The 18840-nt window shown below is 56.9% G+C and overlaps 1 protein-coding gene across 5 annotated transcripts in view, besides 4 other annotated features; it reads right to left on the minus strand.

Moving 5' to 3' along the window:
• The window catches only part of MAD1L1 (mitotic arrest deficient 1 like 1), a 417151-nt gene that overhangs the window by 228538 nt on the left and 169773 nt on the right, over nucleotides 1-18840 (minus strand). The window lies entirely within an intron of this gene.
• Nucleotides 5134-5737: an enhancer, noted in NCBI's record as "H3K27ac-H3K4me1 hESC enhancer chr7:2089101-2089704 (GRCh37/hg19 assembly coordinates)". NCBI's record gives its function as "activates a minimal SCP1, AML or CMV promoter by ChIP-STARR-seq in naive H9 embryonic stem cells {active_cell/tissue: H9 hESC(naive)}" and the evidence as "EXISTENCE:reporter gene assay evidence [ECO:0000049][PMID:30033119]".
• Nucleotides 10796-11311: an enhancer, noted in NCBI's record as "H3K27ac-H3K4me1 hESC enhancer chr7:2094763-2095278 (GRCh37/hg19 assembly coordinates)". NCBI's record gives its function as "activates a minimal SCP1, AML or CMV promoter by ChIP-STARR-seq in naive H9 embryonic stem cells {active_cell/tissue: H9 hESC(naive)}" and the evidence as "EXISTENCE:reporter gene assay evidence [ECO:0000049][PMID:30033119]".
• Nucleotides 11800-12353: an enhancer, noted in NCBI's record as "H3K4me1 hESC enhancer chr7:2095767-2096320 (GRCh37/hg19 assembly coordinates)". NCBI's record gives its function as "activates a minimal SCP1, AML or CMV promoter by ChIP-STARR-seq in naive H9 embryonic stem cells {active_cell/tissue: H9 hESC(naive)}" and the evidence as "EXISTENCE:reporter gene assay evidence [ECO:0000049][PMID:30033119]".
• Nucleotides 12354-12906: an enhancer, noted in NCBI's record as "H3K4me1 hESC enhancer chr7:2096321-2096873 (GRCh37/hg19 assembly coordinates)". NCBI's record gives its function as "activates a minimal SCP1, AML or CMV promoter by ChIP-STARR-seq in naive H9 embryonic stem cells {active_cell/tissue: H9 hESC(naive)}" and the evidence as "EXISTENCE:reporter gene assay evidence [ECO:0000049][PMID:30033119]".

The raw sequence follows: 18840 nt of genomic DNA on the forward strand, positions 1-18840 counted from the left end.
GCACCTGGGACCAGGATTTGAACTCACGCACCCAGGCTCCTGAGAGGACGCTCCTGCCACAAAGCACCTCAGGTGTGAGAGGCCAAAGAGAAGCTGCCCGGCGCACGTGGAAGAAGGTGGGGACGCTGTGAACACACTGGGAACAGTGCTTTAGAAACAGCAGCAGTGAATCCCAGAGGAGCCCGCAGCATGTGTGAGATGATAACACAATTTCCCAAATGGTTCAGCAGGGCACAGAACCAGCACGGGGGTGCGGCCGGGAGGTCTGGGTCCTGAGTACACATGAAGTCCCCAGGCGATCGACCACACAAGCCTCTCCACTGCTCCAGCCTCGGTTTCTCTTCCTGTACAGCGAGGGCGACTCAGCACAGCCCACGTGTTTCCCGCTCAGCTTTGTGAGATTCAGTGAGGATGACAAGAACTGGAACTGGAGTCCCAGCTCAGTGAGACAGACCCCAAGAAATGGAGGCCATCAGTATGGCGTAGTCCCCCGGGGCGTGGACACCCTCTCAGCTCCTGTGCCAGTGGTGTAGACAGGGGAGCCCAGGGGAGGCAACAGCATGAACAAAACCCGAGCCCCGGGCCAGGCCTGTCACCTCCCCACTCTGATGAGCAGCAGCAACCATTCTCCGCACTTCACAGAGGAAGCAGAGGCTCTGACAGGGGCCACACGCCCAAGCCACACGGCCGCAGAGGCACGATCTGAGCCAGGGCGCCCTGACGGCAAGCCCCGGCCTCTGATCACCTCCCAGGGTGAAGCCATTCAGCAAGGGAGCTGCTGCCACCAGGGGCCAGAAAGGACATGAAAGGCTCCGGCCTCCCACCCGGCCTCCACACCCCTCTCTGCTCCAGGCCAGGAGCACCAGCCCGTGTCTCAGTGGCTGTGAATCCCTGTAAGAGTCCCCTGTATCCCTGTGAGAGCCCCCGTATCCCTGTGAGAGTCCTCGTATCCCTGTGTCCCCGTGAGATACCCCACGTCCCTATGAGAGTCCCCCATGTCCCTGTGAGAGTCTCTGTGTCCCTGTGAGAGTGACTCCCAGCCCTCAGGCTGCCGGGTGCCCTCTCAGGTGCCTCTCATGGCCAGCCCAGCACTCTGCGTGTACATAGCACTATCCCTCTCGGGAGCCCGCAGGGTCACACCAGCCTGGCTTACACAGAAATAAATTGTGCTTCTGTAACCAGCAATATTTCTTTAACTGGAGGTTAATAAAAATCACCGTTGGAGGCTAACCAGTGGATCTAATTTATTTAGAGACTTTTCTGAAGCTGTGGATAAAGCCCTTTATTAAAGCTTAGTACAGCACCTGACGATGCCCTGGAAAAGCGACAGTCGCTTAGTGGGATTTGGAGGCCGTGGAGCAAAGTGAAAAGTCTAACAGGATTCCTTGAAGGAAGGAGAGTGGGGTGGGGGAGGGGAGCGGGACATGGGAGCCAATTTCTCACCTGAGGAGCCCAGCCTCAGCCAGACAGCACTTCAGGGCCCGTCCCAGGCCTTCCCTAAGCCTCGGAGCACATGGTGAGCCCCAAGTAGTCCTTAAATCCAAACGTTCTGCCGAGGGCCCCCCATGGAGCTGAGCCATCATCTTTAGGAGACATGGCACACGTCCCCTGCACCACAGGCCGCCACAGCCCTGCTCCCTGAGGGCCTGCCCATGACAGAGGCGGCAGTGGAGGCCCTGTAAGGGAAGGACTTCCTGGGGAAGACCAGCTGAGTGCTGCAGTGGCCACCTCGGCTGCCTCTAGGGAGTCAAGGAGGGTCCCATGTAAGCCCCAGGCCGAGCCCTGCAATCAGTGCCTCTCCTGGGATGCGGGTGGTGGCGCAGGCCCCACGCCCCAGGTGGACTGAAGCCCCGCCCTCCCTACAGAGGGGAGTCCCATCCCTTTCCAGGCCTGCACTCACAGGCACCCTATGTCCCTGTCCTCAGCTGGACGGCAGCGCAGGCAAATAAGATCGCCTTTCAATGTGCACAGAAATACAAGACCCCTTTCAGCCACCAAAGGCCCCCACAACCTCAGGGCCGTCCAGCGAGCTAGGAAACCCATGTTGTCCTCCTCCTCCCAGGCCCGGCGCCCGTGCCCACCCAACCCTCCCCTCCAGACAGGCTCCGGCTGGGGCACTGCCCATGAAATGATTTCGACACACAGAAGCTCACTTAAAACTTCTAGTCTACAAGAGGTGAAAACTTTGGAAGGGTGAAGTTCAAGAACTGTGCAAATCCTCTTATTTTTCTGGAGACGGAACTCTGCGTGGCGATCATCTCCTCAGCTGCTAAACCCCTTCCAGATCAGAAGCGACACAAACCCCGCCTCACCCGCCTGCCCTACACTAAGCCGTGAGGACGTCTTAGTGTAGGAAAGGGGTGAGCGCTGCCCGCCTGTGCCCAAGGGGCCACATTCAACCAAGGGTGGGAAAAGAGGTGAGTCCTTTCCAGACCATCTGTCCCCACTGAAGATTCCGTAAGCTCCTAGGTGGAGGGCTAGACCTTGCCCAGACAGGAGCCTCAGGTCTAAGGAGGAGGAGCAGCGCTCCCTGTGCCCACACGCACAGTGCCCGGCCCCCTGTCCCAGGTGCTACCTCTGCACCACACGCTGCGCACACAACACCCCCTGGGCTGAGCGCACCCACTCACAGACGACAAAGGAAACTGGAGGATCAGTAATGAATGGCCACCAGCGCGCACATCCATGCCCCAATGCCAGCTCCCGGGTTGAACTCCTGGGTTGAACTGTTTACTGCGTGCCACCCTCCTGGGCAAACAGTCTTCGGCTAAGGCCCTCCCTTCCCAGATTCTCAGGTTCTACAAGTCAGTGTCTTTCCTCCGTTCACCCCAGCTCCCCAGGGCTGCTGATGAGCTGACCTAAGGCAAAGCAGGCAATGAGAACTGTGGAAAGGGACCCTGAGACACCGCTTGCTCTGAGCCGCAGCTGCGTAACAAGCTGCAGAAAACCCACCGGCACGAGGAAACCCTGGGGGCCTGTCTGCAGACCGTGCCGATGATTGCTTCCGTCTGGAAGAACCTCCCTTCCTCCCCTTGGTGTTTTATTGGGGGCAGTTTAGCTCTTTATGGGTGAAGTTAACCAAAAGAATATTAACTCCATTCTACACTCCCTGCATCTGACTGTTTTCCATTTGATGATGGATGATGTTTAATACCTCCCAGTCTGAGCACACTCTGGGTCTGTAAATACAGATCCTGCTTTATTGCTGTTTAATAACTATCACAATGGTTGGGGCTGGCCTTGTCTGCTGGGCTTAATGTTCCATGAGGGTCTCGTGGGAAAAGAAGCCAAAATGCATAAAAGAACCAGTGTTCCAGAATGGTAAGCACAGATGCACACACATGTGCGCACACAGCACTCACACATGTGCATGCTCAGACACATGCACACACAGAGCTCACACAGCACAGACATGCACACTCACATGCATACAGAGAGCTGCCTCTGCAGACACATGCACACTCACACACGTGCACTCACATATGCAGAGAGCTGACTCCACAGACACATGCACAATCACACACGTGCACTCACGTGCACACAGCTCACCAGTACAGATACATGCACACTCATGCTCAATGCACAGTTCACACAGATGTGCATGCACAGCTCACAAAGCACACGTGCACACTCACATGATCACATGTGCACACAGAACTCACACAGCACAACATACATGCGCACACAAGTACACACGTATGGACACACACATACACAGCACTCAACACAGATATGCACACACGTCTCCTACACAGAGCTCATGCAGCACAGACACGCACACAGTAATGCTCATGTGTGCATGCATGCACACTGAGCACCGACACGGGTGTGTTCATGAACACCCGGGTGCACGCATGTGCACACTGACGCACACGCGTGCTCTCAGACACCATGCTCCAGCACCCTAGTCGGGCAGCGGGGTAGGTGTAGAGGGACTCGGAGAATGAGCAGCTACCTGGGCTGCGAATCCTGCCTGTTCACCCAGGCAAGTTCCTTCATCTCATCCAACGACAAATTCCTGTTGCACAAACACGGGATTTCCAAATCTGAGCTCAGAATTCTCCAAGTGAGTTTTAAGTGAGATGATTAGAGGGATGTTAATGAAATGAGAAGTTACTCTGACGAATGCCAGCAGTGACCGCTATACATCGAATGCCCACTCACTGCAGGTCCCATGCCAGGTATTTAACATAGGATTTGTCAGGAAATAAATTTGATGAATGGTAATAAGCATCAACCACACTGCATAAGGCCTGGCACAGGGCAGGCAGGTGGGTCAGCCAGGAAGGGGCTGTCCCATAGGATGTTGAGTGATGGCCAAAAAGTCCCCCTCCGCCCCTCTGTGAAGAACCTCCTCCAAGACGAATGCAGAAAACCGCACTCAGCTGAACGGAGCTGTGATGGGAGCCTCCCGAGCCTGGCTGAGCCCCCTGTGCCACACCCCTCCAGCTTCAGGTGCTCTCCCCACTCCACAGTGACTCACAAGCCACCACTCCCACTTCCCCAAGCCAGCGCCAGGCCTTCTCGAGGCGAAGAGCTGTGCCGATTGTCACACTTGCCTGTGTCCAGCCACTGACCGCGTCAACCATGCTGCCATTTTCATCAGGGTCCCATCTTATTTTTAATGTGATTTTGTGTAGCAGGGTGACTTTTAGGAACACACATCACCTTAGAATAGAACTAACCATATGTTTGTTGAGTGAGTTGATGATGAACTACCTCACACATATATTTGAACATTACAATTTAAAAATATTTTCAAAGCATTCCCTCATGTAATCTGTGAATCGGCTCCCCGTGCAGATGGGGTGAGGCGTGCATGCTTCATTCTTCCAGAGAGGAAGCAAAGGCAAAGAGAGGGAAAGGGAGCTGGCGCCAGGCACAAGTGAGAGAGTGACAGAGCTCAGGTTCTAACAGGTTTTCTGATTCCAGCTCCTAGGCTTCCTCCCCCTAGAAGAGAGGAATTCCAGCAGGGCTGGCCTCAGGCCTCCACCTCCCTTCCCGGTGCCCCGCCCAGGGTCAGACCCTCTCCCTGCACAGTGGGGGCCCCCACTCCATGGCCTCTGCTGACTCGGAGCCGACTCAGTAGGTGGCTCATGCCCACCATGGGTGGCAAAAGGCTCGGGGGCAGCTCACCAGCTCACGGGCCTTCTGATGGCACTCAAGAAATTTAGTTTAAACACACACAGATTTTCAAAGAGGCGGTAGGAGGAAGGACTCACCTAGTCCGCCCAGGGGCCTCCTGCAGAAGCAAGATCTGTGCCTGGACCTCACAGACACCTGGGTCCAGCAGCATCCCCATGTCTTGCTGGAGGGCAGGAGCCACCCAAGGGGCACTGGGCACTGCCTGGCGTGGGTGGCCAGACTCGCTTCATCAGCACCAGTGTCCAGGAGGACTATCGAGCACTGTAATTCCCAGGGCACCTCATCCAATGTCTGCAGGCACCAGACCACAGGTTCACAGGGCACCTCATCCAACATCTGCTGGCACCATCTGCGGGCACCAGACCACACGTTCACAGGGCACCTCACCCAACGTCTGCAGGCACCAGACCACACGTTCACAGGGCACCTCACCCAACATCTGCGGACACCAGACCACACGTTCACAAGGAACCTCACCCAACGTCTGCGGGCACCAGACCACACGTTCACAGGGCACCTCACCCAGCGTCTGCGGACACCAGACCACACGTTCACGGGGCACCTCACCCAGCGTCTGCGGGCACCAGACCACACGTTCACGGGGCACCTCACCCAGCGTCTGCGGGCACCAGACCACACGTTCATGGGGCACCTCACCCAGCGTCTGCGGGCACCAGACCACACGTTCACGGGGCACCTCACCCAGCGTCTGCGGGCACCAGACCACACGTTCACGGGGCACCTCACCCAGCATCTGCGGGCATCACCGCCCCTTCCACCTGTTGCACTCCTACGAGAGCTAAGCCAGGTATGAGGCCAGACCAGAAACCAGAGACCAGGATGGAACCTCACGCGCCTGCTGGAAGCAGGGAATCCCCTAGCCAGTGCCTCAGACCCATGTCCACACCCACACGGGCAGACGGAAGCACCAGGCTGAGGGTGGTGAGCCAGGGGGTTCCTGGGCCGCCTCCACTCTGGCTGGTGTCAGGCTGTGGCTTGACCTTTCTGGCAGCTCCGTTGAAGCACCCACAGAACCATGGAGACCACAAGCCAACAGTGGCCTATCACCGGCCTGGAGAAAGTCCAGACACTTCACACCTTCTGACTGAGGCCAGGGACCTCTCCCAGGACCATGGACACAGGGACCCAGGCACCCACCCAGACTGTGGTGCAGGGAACTTACAAGGCTCTTGGGTGTGCCGTGACACCAAGGACAACTGAAGGGGCAGAGGCTGCGGAGGGAGCAGCCCAGTACCCCCGAGGGCGGCTCAGTCCTCAGCAGGCCCACCCACCTGTGCCTCACAGGCCAGGAGCAAACACACCTGTGCGGAACGGCCAGGTGAGGCTGGCTGTCACCTTTAACATCTCTGAATGTCTCCAGGAGGGGCCTAGAGAGGGTTCAGACACCACCACCAGGATGCTGCAGCTATTTTTAGTAGAAAGACTCAAGAGGCTTCCTTGGCAGGGAACCATGCCTTTGAGCATGACCATCAATTTTCACCTGCAGCTAACTTCCTTTCCTTTCAAGATCAAGGTTATTCAAAGATTTGGATTTCTTCGAAACTGAGTTTAAAGAGAGCATGTTTCTCTACCAAACAGGATAGGGGATTTTAAAGCACAAACAAGGACAATGTCAGGCCAAAGCCTGGGTAGGCAGGACAAGGTTCCGGGCCTGGTCCCTCCAGCCCTTCCCAGACACCCTGCAGGCCCTGCTTGTGTCCCCCCGAGGCTGGGCTAAAGCCACCTGTGCCAGCTGGATGATGCCTGGCCTGGGCACTGGAGGAGCCTCCCTGGGCTCCTCTCTAAGCCTCGGTCTCTCTGGTATAAACCTCCAAAGCTGAGGGGGACTGGGAATTCCACAGCCTCTCTCCTAGCAGGACACTCCAGGTTTCTCGTCCATAACCCACGTGGTGCTGTGGAGCCTTGGCCTACAGGACAGAAGGGGCTCCTGGGATCTGGATGAAGTGGTGGCGAGGGGGGCGCTGACCTTGTCCTTCAGGAAGAGCCACGTGGCTCAGCAGGCAAGATCCAAGACGTTTCAACGTGGTATGTTAGAAACTCACACTTAATGCAGAAAAGCCCAGGAACGAGACATTGAAACCGCACATGAAGACTGGGCCTTCCCTGCATCCGCCGGGTCACCTTGCTGTCCCCCACCTCCCCCACCCCCCCACCAGCTGCCCTGCGCCTGCCGGGTCACCTCGCTGTCCCCTACCTCCCCCAACCCCCCACCAGCTGCGCTGTGCCTACTGGGTCACCTTGCTTTCCACCCCCCACCACCCCCACCAGCTGCCCTGCGCCCGCCAGGTCACCTTGCTGTCCACCCCCCAACCCCATCCCCCACCAGCTGCCTGGGGCCCCTGAGGGCTCCTCAGAGCCATGGACAAGCTGAGCAGCAGGTGCCGTGTCAGGCTATACCACATGGGGTGCCAGAAACTGATTTCACTGGGAAGTCTTTTGTTAGGAGTACTCCAAGGGCAAGCGTCCTCTGGGAAGCGTGTTGGGAATGGATGTTTACAGGGGCGTCAGGCAGGGAAACAGCCAGGCGGAAAGACAACCATTCATGCAGAGTCAACACCTGTGCACCCCCTGCATTCCACGAAGGAGCCCCCGGCAGGCCAAGACCCACGCTCCGCACACATCAGAGAGGAGGGGCTGGCCTCAGAGAAGCGAGAGCAGGAGCAGGGTGACCACGGACAAGGGCAGAACCCTATCGTCCTCGCCACGCGCACAGCCACAGCTCCGCCACAGCCAGCCATGGCATGACTCCATATGCCAACAGGCTTCCCTGGCCCCTTCATGTGAGCAACAGAGCACAGGCAGCGGCGTAGTAGGAGCCCCAGGCCTGCCGCCACCACAGTTGGTAACAGCCTCAGGAAGACCACACAGACAGAATGCCCAACAGACAGCAAGCAACAGCACCCAGGAGGGCGCCGGACAGCTCACTAGGGCCCAGGCACAGCAGGCAGGGAGGGCGCCGGACAGCTCACTAGGGCCCAGGCACAGCAGGCAGGGAGGGGGCTGGACACTCACTGGGGCCCGGGCACGGTGCCCAGGGAGGGCACCTGACAGCTCCCTGGGGCCTAGGTATACAGTGGAAACCCTACTTACGTTTATAAGTCCTTATATCTTACAAATAAATGGGTGTGTTCATTATTGGCCGCAGGTCATACCTATCCTTTTTAAACAAATATGCACGTATCAGTGTGCAAATTCCACAGTTTTTATAAAGGGGTACACCATCAAAATAAACCTGGAGCAAACAGCTGGGACACAGCTACGGCAGCTGGCATGGGCATGGCCCTGGCGCCACAGACTGCTGCCCGGAACAGACAGAGGAACCGGGAGGGAGCTGGGGCCCCAGCCTGGAGCATGGGGGAGGGAGGCGCTGGACCTCCGGGGCCATGGGGAGATAGGAAGCCATGTGTCCCCAGCAGGACATGTGGGAGGAGGAAATCCAGAAGGGAGAGCTGCCCCAAGTCCCGGGACAGCGGAGGCTCCTCCACCAGCCTGAGGAGGGAACGGGTGGGTGCCGCCTCCAGTGCCTGCATCTGAAGGCCGAGCCGTCCCTGCCCTGGCACCTGCTCCCAGCCACTGCCTACCCTCCTGCTCTGCCACTGACAGCTACACGTCTTGCGACTTTGGTTGTTGGGAAAGTTGAAAGCAAGTAACACCCTCTTCCACATTGCTGACATTAGCTCAGGCATCAGAAGCAGAAGCCTCGGGATCTGCTACCTGGTAGCAGGCCCTTCCTGAAAACCGGTGAGTTTGGGGGCCGCGGAGGCCCATGCAGACGGTGAGGCTGGGACCAAGAGTCCTCCGGGCGGGGGCAGAGCACAGGGCAGGTGAGGCAGAGGCAGGAGAGCTGCTCCCTGGCCACTCCAAAGGCCTCAGCACCTCCTGTAGGTGAAGGAGTCCAATATTCACCAGGCATTTACTCAGAGCCTGCTGTATGCAAGGAACTGTGCCAGCCGCCGGTGAACAAGGGAGAAAAGGGCCTGCCTCAATGCTATGAGCCGGACGCCGGGGATGATCTGGGTTCCGGGAAGTAGAGAAGCTGTGTGAAGGCCCCAAGGCCCTGGCGGGCGGCAGGAAAGCAACGGGGAAGCAGAGGAGGCTGCAGAGGTGGGGCCCATCTTCCCCGCACAGCACGTTCCAGCCAGGGCCTGGGGACACGGGTTATGGGGGTGCCCCAGGCCAACAGGGTACAGGGCCAGGGACAGCCCCTGGGTGAAGCCAGGGAGCCTGTGACCCAGGCCCTGCATTCTGGGCTGCAGGTTTCAGTAGGCTCCTGTGACCGAGCTCTCCAAGTGTGATTTGCCACCATTAAGTGGACGCAGGCCATGACTCCTCAAAAAAGAAAGTAGACCTGGCTTCCACAGTGCTCCAGGGGCACCCGATTCTAGCCACCCTCAACACGGAGACCCGAGGAGACAGCCTTATCTCAGCAGCACCATCCAGAAATGCCCTCATCGGGGTTTCTGATGACACACCTGCCACCAGCACCCTTCTGCAGAGGGAGGCAGGGCGGGAGGGGTCAGGGCTGCACCCGGGTGCCCGCAGACAGGGCACTCCCACCAGGGCCAGAGCCCACGAGCACTGCTGCTCCCAGCCCACCTCCCCCAACACAGTGCTGTGGCCATCTCCTCAAATCTCCCTGAAAGGGCCAGGAGTTCCACAGCCTCACCTGGAACTGTCCAGAAAGTCCCACCCATGGGCGGGTGGGGACAGGACTGTGGTCTTTTCAAAGAGCCAAGAGTAAAGATGGGTGACCTGAATCCAGTGTAACGCAGCCTCCAAACTCCACGCACCTGAGGCAGAGACGGCGGTCGGGCGCACGTGGAGGGCTCGGGCTGGTGGAGGCGGTCCACGCTCCCACAACCCAACCTTCATCATCTTCACACTGGAGACGGGTAAAATGCATTGTTTTGATTTCACCGTATTTCCTAAAATTGCTTTTCTCCCTGGAATTTTTTTCTGCCACAGCCAGGTCCAGCTCCCTCTCGGAGGGAGAGTGCAGCAGTGTCTGTGACAAGGTTGGCTTTCTAATAACTGTGCAAATGGCTTTGTCCCATAACAAAGTGGACATTCTTTCCTGAATGGATGTAATAGAAATGTCAGTCTAGAAAGGTAATGGGAAAGGGCGATATATTAACACCTGGAAATTAAATTCCAAAGCCGAGAGAACCCTGCTTATCTGTGGAGGGAAGAGGCCCTCTCACTGAGCAGAGCAAACACGACCCTGGAAGCCGGGCTGGCCAGCGTCTCAGGGCCCCTCCTGCAGGCTTTGCACCGATCCAGGTGTACGTGGAGGGATGTGCTTTAAGTATGAACAAAGCAAGGTCTGAAGCTGAACTTGAGCTGCGCTCGGCTGGGCCGTGCCCTCGCAGTGATGGGAGAGCGGGGAACACATGCGGTACTCAGGGCTGCTCCTTGGACATCCCCAGAGGCTAAAGCCCAGGAGACAAGATGGGTTGCATGGGTCACAGTAGCAGGAGGAGCCGAGCGGTGGGGCCGGGACTCAGGGACGACGGCAGGGCCCGAACTCCATCTGTCCTGTGTTCACGTACACAGTGCAGAGCTTGTCACAAAGGGCGGGGGCAGCAGAGACAGAGGAAGCGGGGCCAAGCCTCCCTCCAGGCACTAGGCAGGCAGCACAGCGAGGCGGTGCGTGCCACGACAGCACCAGGCAGAGGCACGCCACAAACCCTGACAGAAAGCAGGGAGTGAATGAGCACACGCCAGGACGTGTGTCCTCTCGGAGGCAGACAGTGAGGACAGCAGGTAGGCAGTGGTCTTCAGAGGGAGCTGGGGGTGAGCCAGGCCTAGGGCCAGTCAGCAGCATCCACATCAGCTGTGTGACCCGGCCCCTGTGGCCCGCATCGTAGGGCACGATCCAGGCCTCTGCCACCCCTGACAGAACTGGCCCGGAGCAGCACAGGAGCGCCACCAGGGAACCGGTGAGACATGGGGACCGCAGGCTGCACCCCAGAGCTACCAAGTCACACTCAGATTTCCACGATCTCTACAAAAACACAAAAGAATTAGATGGGCACGGTGGTGGCACCTGAAGTCCCAGCTACTCGGGAGGCTGAGGCAGGAGAATCACCGGAGCCTGCGATGTCGAGGCTGCAGTGAGCCGAGACCACACTACTGTACTCCAGCCTGGGTGACACAGAGAGACCCTGTCTCAAAAAAAAAAAAAAAAAAAAAATCTAGGACCAGGCACAGTGGCTCACAGCTGTAATCCCAGCACTTTGGGAGGCTGAGGTGGGTGGATCACTTGAGGTCAGGAGTTCGAGACCAGCCTGACCAATATGGCAAAACCCCGTCTCTACTACAAATACATAAATTAGCTGGACATGGTGGCAGGCGCCTGTAATCCCAGCTACTCGGGAGGCTGAGGCTGGAGAATCGCTTGAACCCAGGAGGCAGAGGTTGCAGTGAGCTGAGATCATGCCACTGCACTCCAGCCTGAGTGACAGGGCAAGACTCCATCTCAAAAATAAATAAATAAATAAATAAAAAACACAAATCTAGCATCAAGGCTGGCCGCATGGCCTGGGCAGTCTCTATGCCACTCTTAAGCCTCGACTTGCTGGGCTAAAACGGGGCCACAGAGCTGACCCCCCGACGCCTCAGCGGGCGCCACAGGGAACATGATGACTGTCTGACACAAACCCCTGGAGGGTCACAGAGGATGATGCTTTCCAGATGACACAGCAGGTACTGGGTGTTATAAATACTCCCTTCAGTGCTACCTAAGACCAAAAATTTTCAGTATTAAAAAAGAAAGAGCAAGAGAAATCGTGCCGATCATGAAGCCTCAGACCTAAAGAGGGGTGTGGAGCAGAAGAGACGGCGATCAGAAGCAGCATGGGGCTCGCGCAGGCTCTTCTGTGGGAGGGATGGAGGCCCTCTGCTCTGCTCTGCTCTGCTCTGCTCTAGGGAAAGAGGGCTAGATCTCACACCCTCAGGGGAGGGAGGAGCACACAGCCAGATTTAGGCTCCCACTGGGGCAGAGGAAGAAACCACAGAATGGCTATCCAGGAAAGACGTGGAAGGAAGTACAAGACTGGCTCCACGACCCATCTGCAAAGCGACCCAGGAGATACCCACGTGAGCGAGGGCGGTGCTCACCTCGAACCAAGGCCCACCACAGAGCTCCCACGGGCTCCCACCCAGCGCCCATTATCACAGAGGGGTGAAGGACAAGTCCTACTCAACACTAGAACCAGGACAAGGAGTTGGTGTGGCTCCAAGAGGCAGCCCAGGGGGACTGTTGTGGGGCCACAGAAACCTACACAAGCGGCCGATCGCGGAGAGGAACACAGGCTGTGCTAACGCCAAAGCCCCTGGTCTTCCCACTGCACCACGACCACCTACGGCATTGCCACGGGGAAGCCGGGGAGACGTGGCACCTCGCCCCACAACCTTCCCAAGTACCCGTGCAGCTATCATTACCACAAACCAAGCCCCACCACGGTCTAGCACGGCAGATGGACACAGCTCTCCCCGCAGTGACCTTCTGGGCTCAGCAAGGGCGCCTGTTCACCGGCTTCCCACACCCTCCCTGACACACGAGCCCTAAAGCGCCTCCCTTTCTTCACAGCAGCCATCACCGCCTCAACGCGACTGACACCTGCCCCAGCCCCACCTAGAGAGGGGCCCTTGAGCTCCGAGTCTGCTGTGCAGCTCCCTGCTGTTTTCCACAGCACCTAAATGTGCCAGGCTCACAGGAGACGCACAGTAAGAATCTGGGGAATGACCGAGCGCGGTGCCTCATGCCTGTAATCCCAGCACGTCGGGAAGCCAAGGTGGGCAGATCACTTGACGTGAGAAGTTCCTGGCCAACGTGGCAAAATCCATCCCTACTAAAAATACAAAGAATTCACCGGGCATGGTGGTGTGCACCTGTAGTCCCAGCTACTCAGAGGCTGAGGGGAGAACTGCTTGAACCCGGGAGGCAGAGGTTGCAGTGAGCCAAGATTGCACCACTGCACTCCAGCCTGGACATCAGAACAAGACTCCATTCCCCCCACCGCCCCCCCAAAAAGAAGAAGTTGGGGAATGAAACATTAATGATCGAGTGAGTGAACTGAGTCTGGGTTTCTCCTTCTCAATCCCTTTTCAGCTGGCCAGTCCACCTGTATTATATGCTTTGTATGCGTTAAATCCTGCTGGAAGGCCAGACTTTCTAAATCCACAGAGAATATCAGAAAATGTTTTGAACTCAACAGTAACAAAAACAACCCGCATCAAAATTTATGGGGTAGGCCTTCGTGACAAAGACTCTTAGAAAAGCACAAGTTGGAGAGGATTTCATTAATTCAGTAAAGAGTATCACACAGAACATCTAGCACACACCACGCTTACTGATGGATTACCAAAGCGCCCGTCACAGCCTGAAGGAGACAAGGTGCCTACTGTCATCATTCCTCCATGACACTGCACCTGGAGGAAAGGGGCATGGAGAGAAGCAGGGCCGGAGAGGGAGTGTGGCCAGAGGAGAGGAGAGGCGCGGGGCTGGAGAGGGAGTGTGGCCAGAGGAGAGGAGAGGAGAGGCGCGGGGCTGGAGAGGGAGTGTGGCCAGAGGAGAGGAGAGGCGCGGGGCTGGAGAGGGAGTGTGGCCAGAGGAGAGGAGAGGCGCGGGGCTGGAGAGGGAGTGTGGCTAGAGGAGAGAAGCAGGGCTGGAGAGGGAGTGTGGCCAGAGGAGAGGAGAGGCGCGGGGCTGGAGAGGGAGTGTGGCCAGAGGAGAGGAGAGGCGCGGGGCTGGAGAGGGAGTGTGGCCAGAGGAGAGGAGAGGCGCGGGGCTGGAGAGGGAGTGTGGCCAGAGGAGAGGAGAGGCGCGGGGCTGGAGAGGGAGTGTGGCCAGAGGAGAGGAGAGGCGCGGGGCTGGAGAGGGAGTGTGGCCAGAGGAGAGGAGAGGGGCGGGGCTGGAGAGGGAGTGTGGCCAGAGGAGAGGAGAGGCGCGAGGCTGGAGAGGGAGTGTGGCCAGAGGAGAGAAGCAGGGCTGGAGAGGGAGTGTGGCCAGAGGAGAGGAGAGGCGCAGGGCTGGAGAGGGAGTGTGGCCAGAGGAGAGAAGCAGGGCTGGAGAGGGAGTGTGGCCAGAGGAGAGGAGAGGCGCGGGGCTAGAGTGGGAGTGTGGCCAGGGGAGAGGCGCAGGGCTGGAGAGGGAGTGTGGCCAGAGGAGAGGAGAGGCTTGAGGCTGGAGAGGGAGTGTGGCCAGGGGAGAGGAGAGGCGCAGGGCTGGAGAGGGAGTGTGGCTAGAGGAGAGAAGCAGGGCTGGAGAGGGAGTGTGGCCAGAGAAGAGGAGAGGCGCGGGGCTGGAGTGGGAGTGTGGCCAGAGGAGAGAAGCAGGGCTGGAGAGGGAGTGTGGCCAGAGGAGAGGAGAGGCGCGGGGCTAGAGTGGGAGTGTGGCCAGGGGAGAGGCGCAGGGCTGGAGAGGGAGTGTGGCCAGAGGAGAGGAGAGGCGCGGGGCTAGAGTGGGAGTGTGGCCAGGGGAGAGGCGCAGGGCTGGAGAGGGAGTGTGGCCAGAGGAGAGAAGCAGGGCTGGAGAGGGAGTGTGGCCAGAGGAGAGAAGCAGGGCTGGAGAGGGAGTGTGGCCAGGAGAGAAGCAGGGCTGGAGAGGGAGTGTGGCCAGACGAGAGAAGCAGGGCTGGAGAGGGAGTGTGGCCAGAGGAGAAGAGAGGCGTGGGGCTGGAGAGGGAGTGTGGCCAGAGGAGAGAAGCAGGGCTGGAGAGGGAGTGTGGCCAGGAGAGAAGCAGGGCTGGAGAGGGAGTGTGGCCAGGAGAGAAGCAGGGCTGGAGAGGGAGTGTGGCCAGAAGAGAGAAGCAGGGCTGGAGTGGGAGTGTGGCCAGAGGAGAGGAGAGGCATGGGGCTGGAGAGGGAGTGTGGCCAGAAGAGAGAAGCAGGGCTGGAGAGGGAATGTGGCCAGAGGAGAGGCACGGGGTTGGAGAGGCAGCGTGGCCAGAGGAGAGAAGAGGCGTGGGGCTGGAGAGGGATTGTGGCCAGAGGAGAGGAAAGGTGCGGGGCTGGAAAGGGAGCATGGCCAGGGGAGAGGAGAGGCAAGGGGCTGGCGGGGAAGCATGGCCAGGGGAGGGGAGAGGAGAGGCACGGGGCTGGTGGGGAAGCGTGGCCAGGGGAGAGGAGAGGCGCGGGGCTGGAGAGGGAGCATGGCCAGGGGACAGGAGAGGTGTGGGGCTGGCAGGGAAGCGTAGCCAGGGGAGAAGAGAGGCATGGGGTTGGTGGGGAAGCATGGCCAGCATCTCTCAGAGAGTATGAGTGTGCACGTCAAACACCAGCATCAGAGCAAGGTTGTCATGTGCAGGGTCAATGTGCAGGACCCAATGGTACATCCACAGGCCAGGAACACATACATAGAAGATCAAAGTCCAAGAAGACAACATGAAAACTGCGTCGAATGTTCAAATACGCAGGGCAGAAAGTCTAATGACATGTAAGAATCTACCCTAAAATCCATCAAACTTGCTGAGAGAAATTAAAGGCCATCAAGGTAAATGGTGGAACATGTGGCATTCATGGTTCACAAGATACGCCGATGCCGAGATACACCGATGCCGAGGTATCAAGATACGCTGATGCCAAGATACGCTGATGCCGAGATACGCCGAAGCCAAGATGCCGAGATGTCGAGATACGCAGATGCCAAGATACGCCGAAGCCGAGATACGCCGATGCCGAGATACACCGATGCCAAGATACGCAGATGCCAAGTTACGCCGATGCCGAGATACGCCGATGCCGAGATACGCCGATGCCGAGATACGCCGATGCCGAGATACGCCGATCCCGAGATACGCCGATCCCGAGATACGCCGATGCTGAGATACGCCAATGCCAAGATGTCGAGATATGCTGATGCCAAGATACACCGATGCCGAGATGTCAAGATACGCTGATGCTGAGATACACTGATGCTGAGATACGCCGATGCTGAGATAACGCCGATGCCGAGATAACGCTGATGTCGAGATATGCCAATATCGAGATAATGCCGAGACCGAGATAACGCTAATGTCGAGATACGCTAATGCCAAGATAAGCTAATGCTGTGCTTCACCTGGACACAGGGAAACACTGGAAGGAGGAGGCAACGACGACAGCATGGAATCGTAAACAAATAAAAAAAGAGCCCATGGAACACACCAGAAAGCCCTGAAGTGGACGGCCACGAGGGGTCCCCGGGCCACGGCCATGGCAGCGCCACGCGTGGGGAGAAGGCGGCCTTGCAATAGAGGCTGCCAGATCAACAGCATGTTTCACAGAACAAAAGCAGCAACATATAAAAGGTAAACAATAAAGTGTTTAGAAGAAAACCACTGAGTATCTTCACAACTTTGGCAGGCAAAGACTGTTTAATCATGACTCAAAAGCACCAGCATCAGCAAACGTCGGTGAGCTGGCTGCATGAACATCAACAGAGAAATTCCGAGAGTGAAAAAGCAAACCACAGGCTACGAGAAGATAACTAAATACGTTTCAACAAAAGACTTTCACATCCAGAGTAAAGAACTACAACTCAGTAAGAACAAGGCAAACAATCATTTAAAGGCCCAGGACGGATACAGTGGCTCACGCCTGTAATCTCAACACTTTGGAAGGCTGAGGCAGGCAGATCACGAGGTCAGGAGTTCGAGACCAGCCTAACCAACATGGTGAGACCCCATCTCTACTAAAAATACAAAACTTAGCTGGGCGTGCTGGCGCGTGCCTGTAGTCCCAGCTACTCATGAGGCTGAGGCAGGAGAATTGCTTGAACCCGGGAGGCGGAGGTGGCAGTGAGCCAAGATTGAGCCATTGCACTCCAGCCTGGGCAACAGAGTGAGACTCCGTCTCAAAAAATAATAATAAAATTAAAATAAAATAAAATAAAAATAAAAGCCCAAAGGGGTAGGAACAGAAAGCCTGTCCAGGTGCCCCCAGGAGTCGGTGTCTAACCGGCCAGTGAGCATGTAAAAAGCAGCTCAGCTTCACCAAGCCTCAGGAAAGTAAGAACAACAGCTTTCGAGTACAGGCCCCCACCAGGGAGAAAACCAAAGGCAGGAGGTGAGGACCCGGAGGGACCAGCACCATCCACACCCCAACAGGAGTGCCACCTGGCACAGTAACTCTGGCGGGGGTGGCAGCCCCGGGAACTGACCCTATGCCACACCTGGGCATGCCCAGCGCAAGGGCACCCAGGGGATCACCAAACGTCATACACGTGTTAAAACGTCCACGTCAGCAAGAGTCAACACCCCCATGCTGGAAACCATCCGATGTCGGGTACAGCCAAGTGTATTTTAAAAAGTGGTATTTTTATACAATGGAAAACTTAACAGAGTAATTAAGAAAAATCAACAAATCTCAGCTATACACAACACACATGACTCTCACAAAGATAACGTGTAATGGAAGCCAGGGACTAAAGAGTACAGGTATGTGATTCCAATATGTGACGCTTAAAAACAGGGAAGTGGGCCAGGCGCAGTGGCTCACGCCTGTAATCCCAGCACTTTGGGAGGCCGAGGCAGGCAGATCACCTGAGGTCAGGAGTTCAGGACCAGCCTGGCCAACATGGTGAAACCCCGTCTCTACAAAAATACAAAAAAATTAGCTGGGTATAGTGACAGGCACCTGAAATCCCAGCTCCTCGGGAGGCTGAGGCGAGAGAATGGCTTGAACCCAAGAGACGGAGGTTGCAGTGAGCTGAGATCGCGCCACTGCACTCCAGCCTGGGTGACAGAGCGAGACTCCATTTCAAAAAACAGCAACGACAAAAAAAAAAAAAAAAAAACAGGGAATTGAAGGCCGGACACAGTGGCTCACGCCTGTAATCCCAGCACTTTGGGATTGGGAGGCCGAAGTAGGGGGATCACGAGGTCAGGAGTTCGAGACCAACCTGGCCAACATGGTGAAACCCTGTCTTTACTAAAAATACAAAAATTAGCCCGGTGTGGTGACGCACACCTATAATCCCAGCTACTCGAGAGGCTGAGGCAACAGAATTGCTTGAACCTGGGAGGCGGAGGCTGCAGTGAGCCGAGATCACGCGACTGCACTCCAGCCTGGGCAACAAAGAGAGACTCTGTCTCAAACAAAAAAAAAACAGGGAAGTGAAGTCAGGAGGCGCTTGCCCTGGAGCTGAGGGAGCGGCTGGAACCAGGCACGAGGGTCTTGCTGGGGTTGCTAACTACCTGCTCTTCTAGAGTCTGTCCTGGGTCTGTAATTTGTGCACACTAAACTTCAACACGGAGACTACTGAGAACAAGCCTCCCGAGGTGGGGCTGAGCCACACCCACTGTGCAGCACCCACCGCAGGAAGGCAAAACTGGAACACCTCACACGTCAGGTCACTAAACCGTGACCCACTCCCTGCACACAGCATCACAACAGCAGCAAAAAGGAACACGCTGCATTCCCAGGGACGAAGGTCAAAAGGATAACGCTAAGATAAAAACAAAGAGAAGCCACAGAAGCGTGGCTCTATGTACAGAAAACATAAAAATGGGAAAAGCGGAGCAATGTTTAAAGATATACACACAATTAAACTAGAAAGAAAAATGAGGGAAGGGACTGCTCTACGTTTAGAGCACGGCTCCGTCTGACAGCGGAGGCTGTTCTGTTTCTTACACTGGGACTGAGACACGGGAACTTGCTGTATTCTTTGAGCTGTATGTATATGTTCTATAT

Source organism: Homo sapiens, chromosome 7 (genome assembly GCF_000001405.40).
Source record: "Homo sapiens chromosome 7, GRCh38.p14 Primary Assembly".
Taxonomy (NCBI): domain Eukaryota; kingdom Metazoa; phylum Chordata; class Mammalia; order Primates; family Hominidae; genus Homo; species Homo sapiens.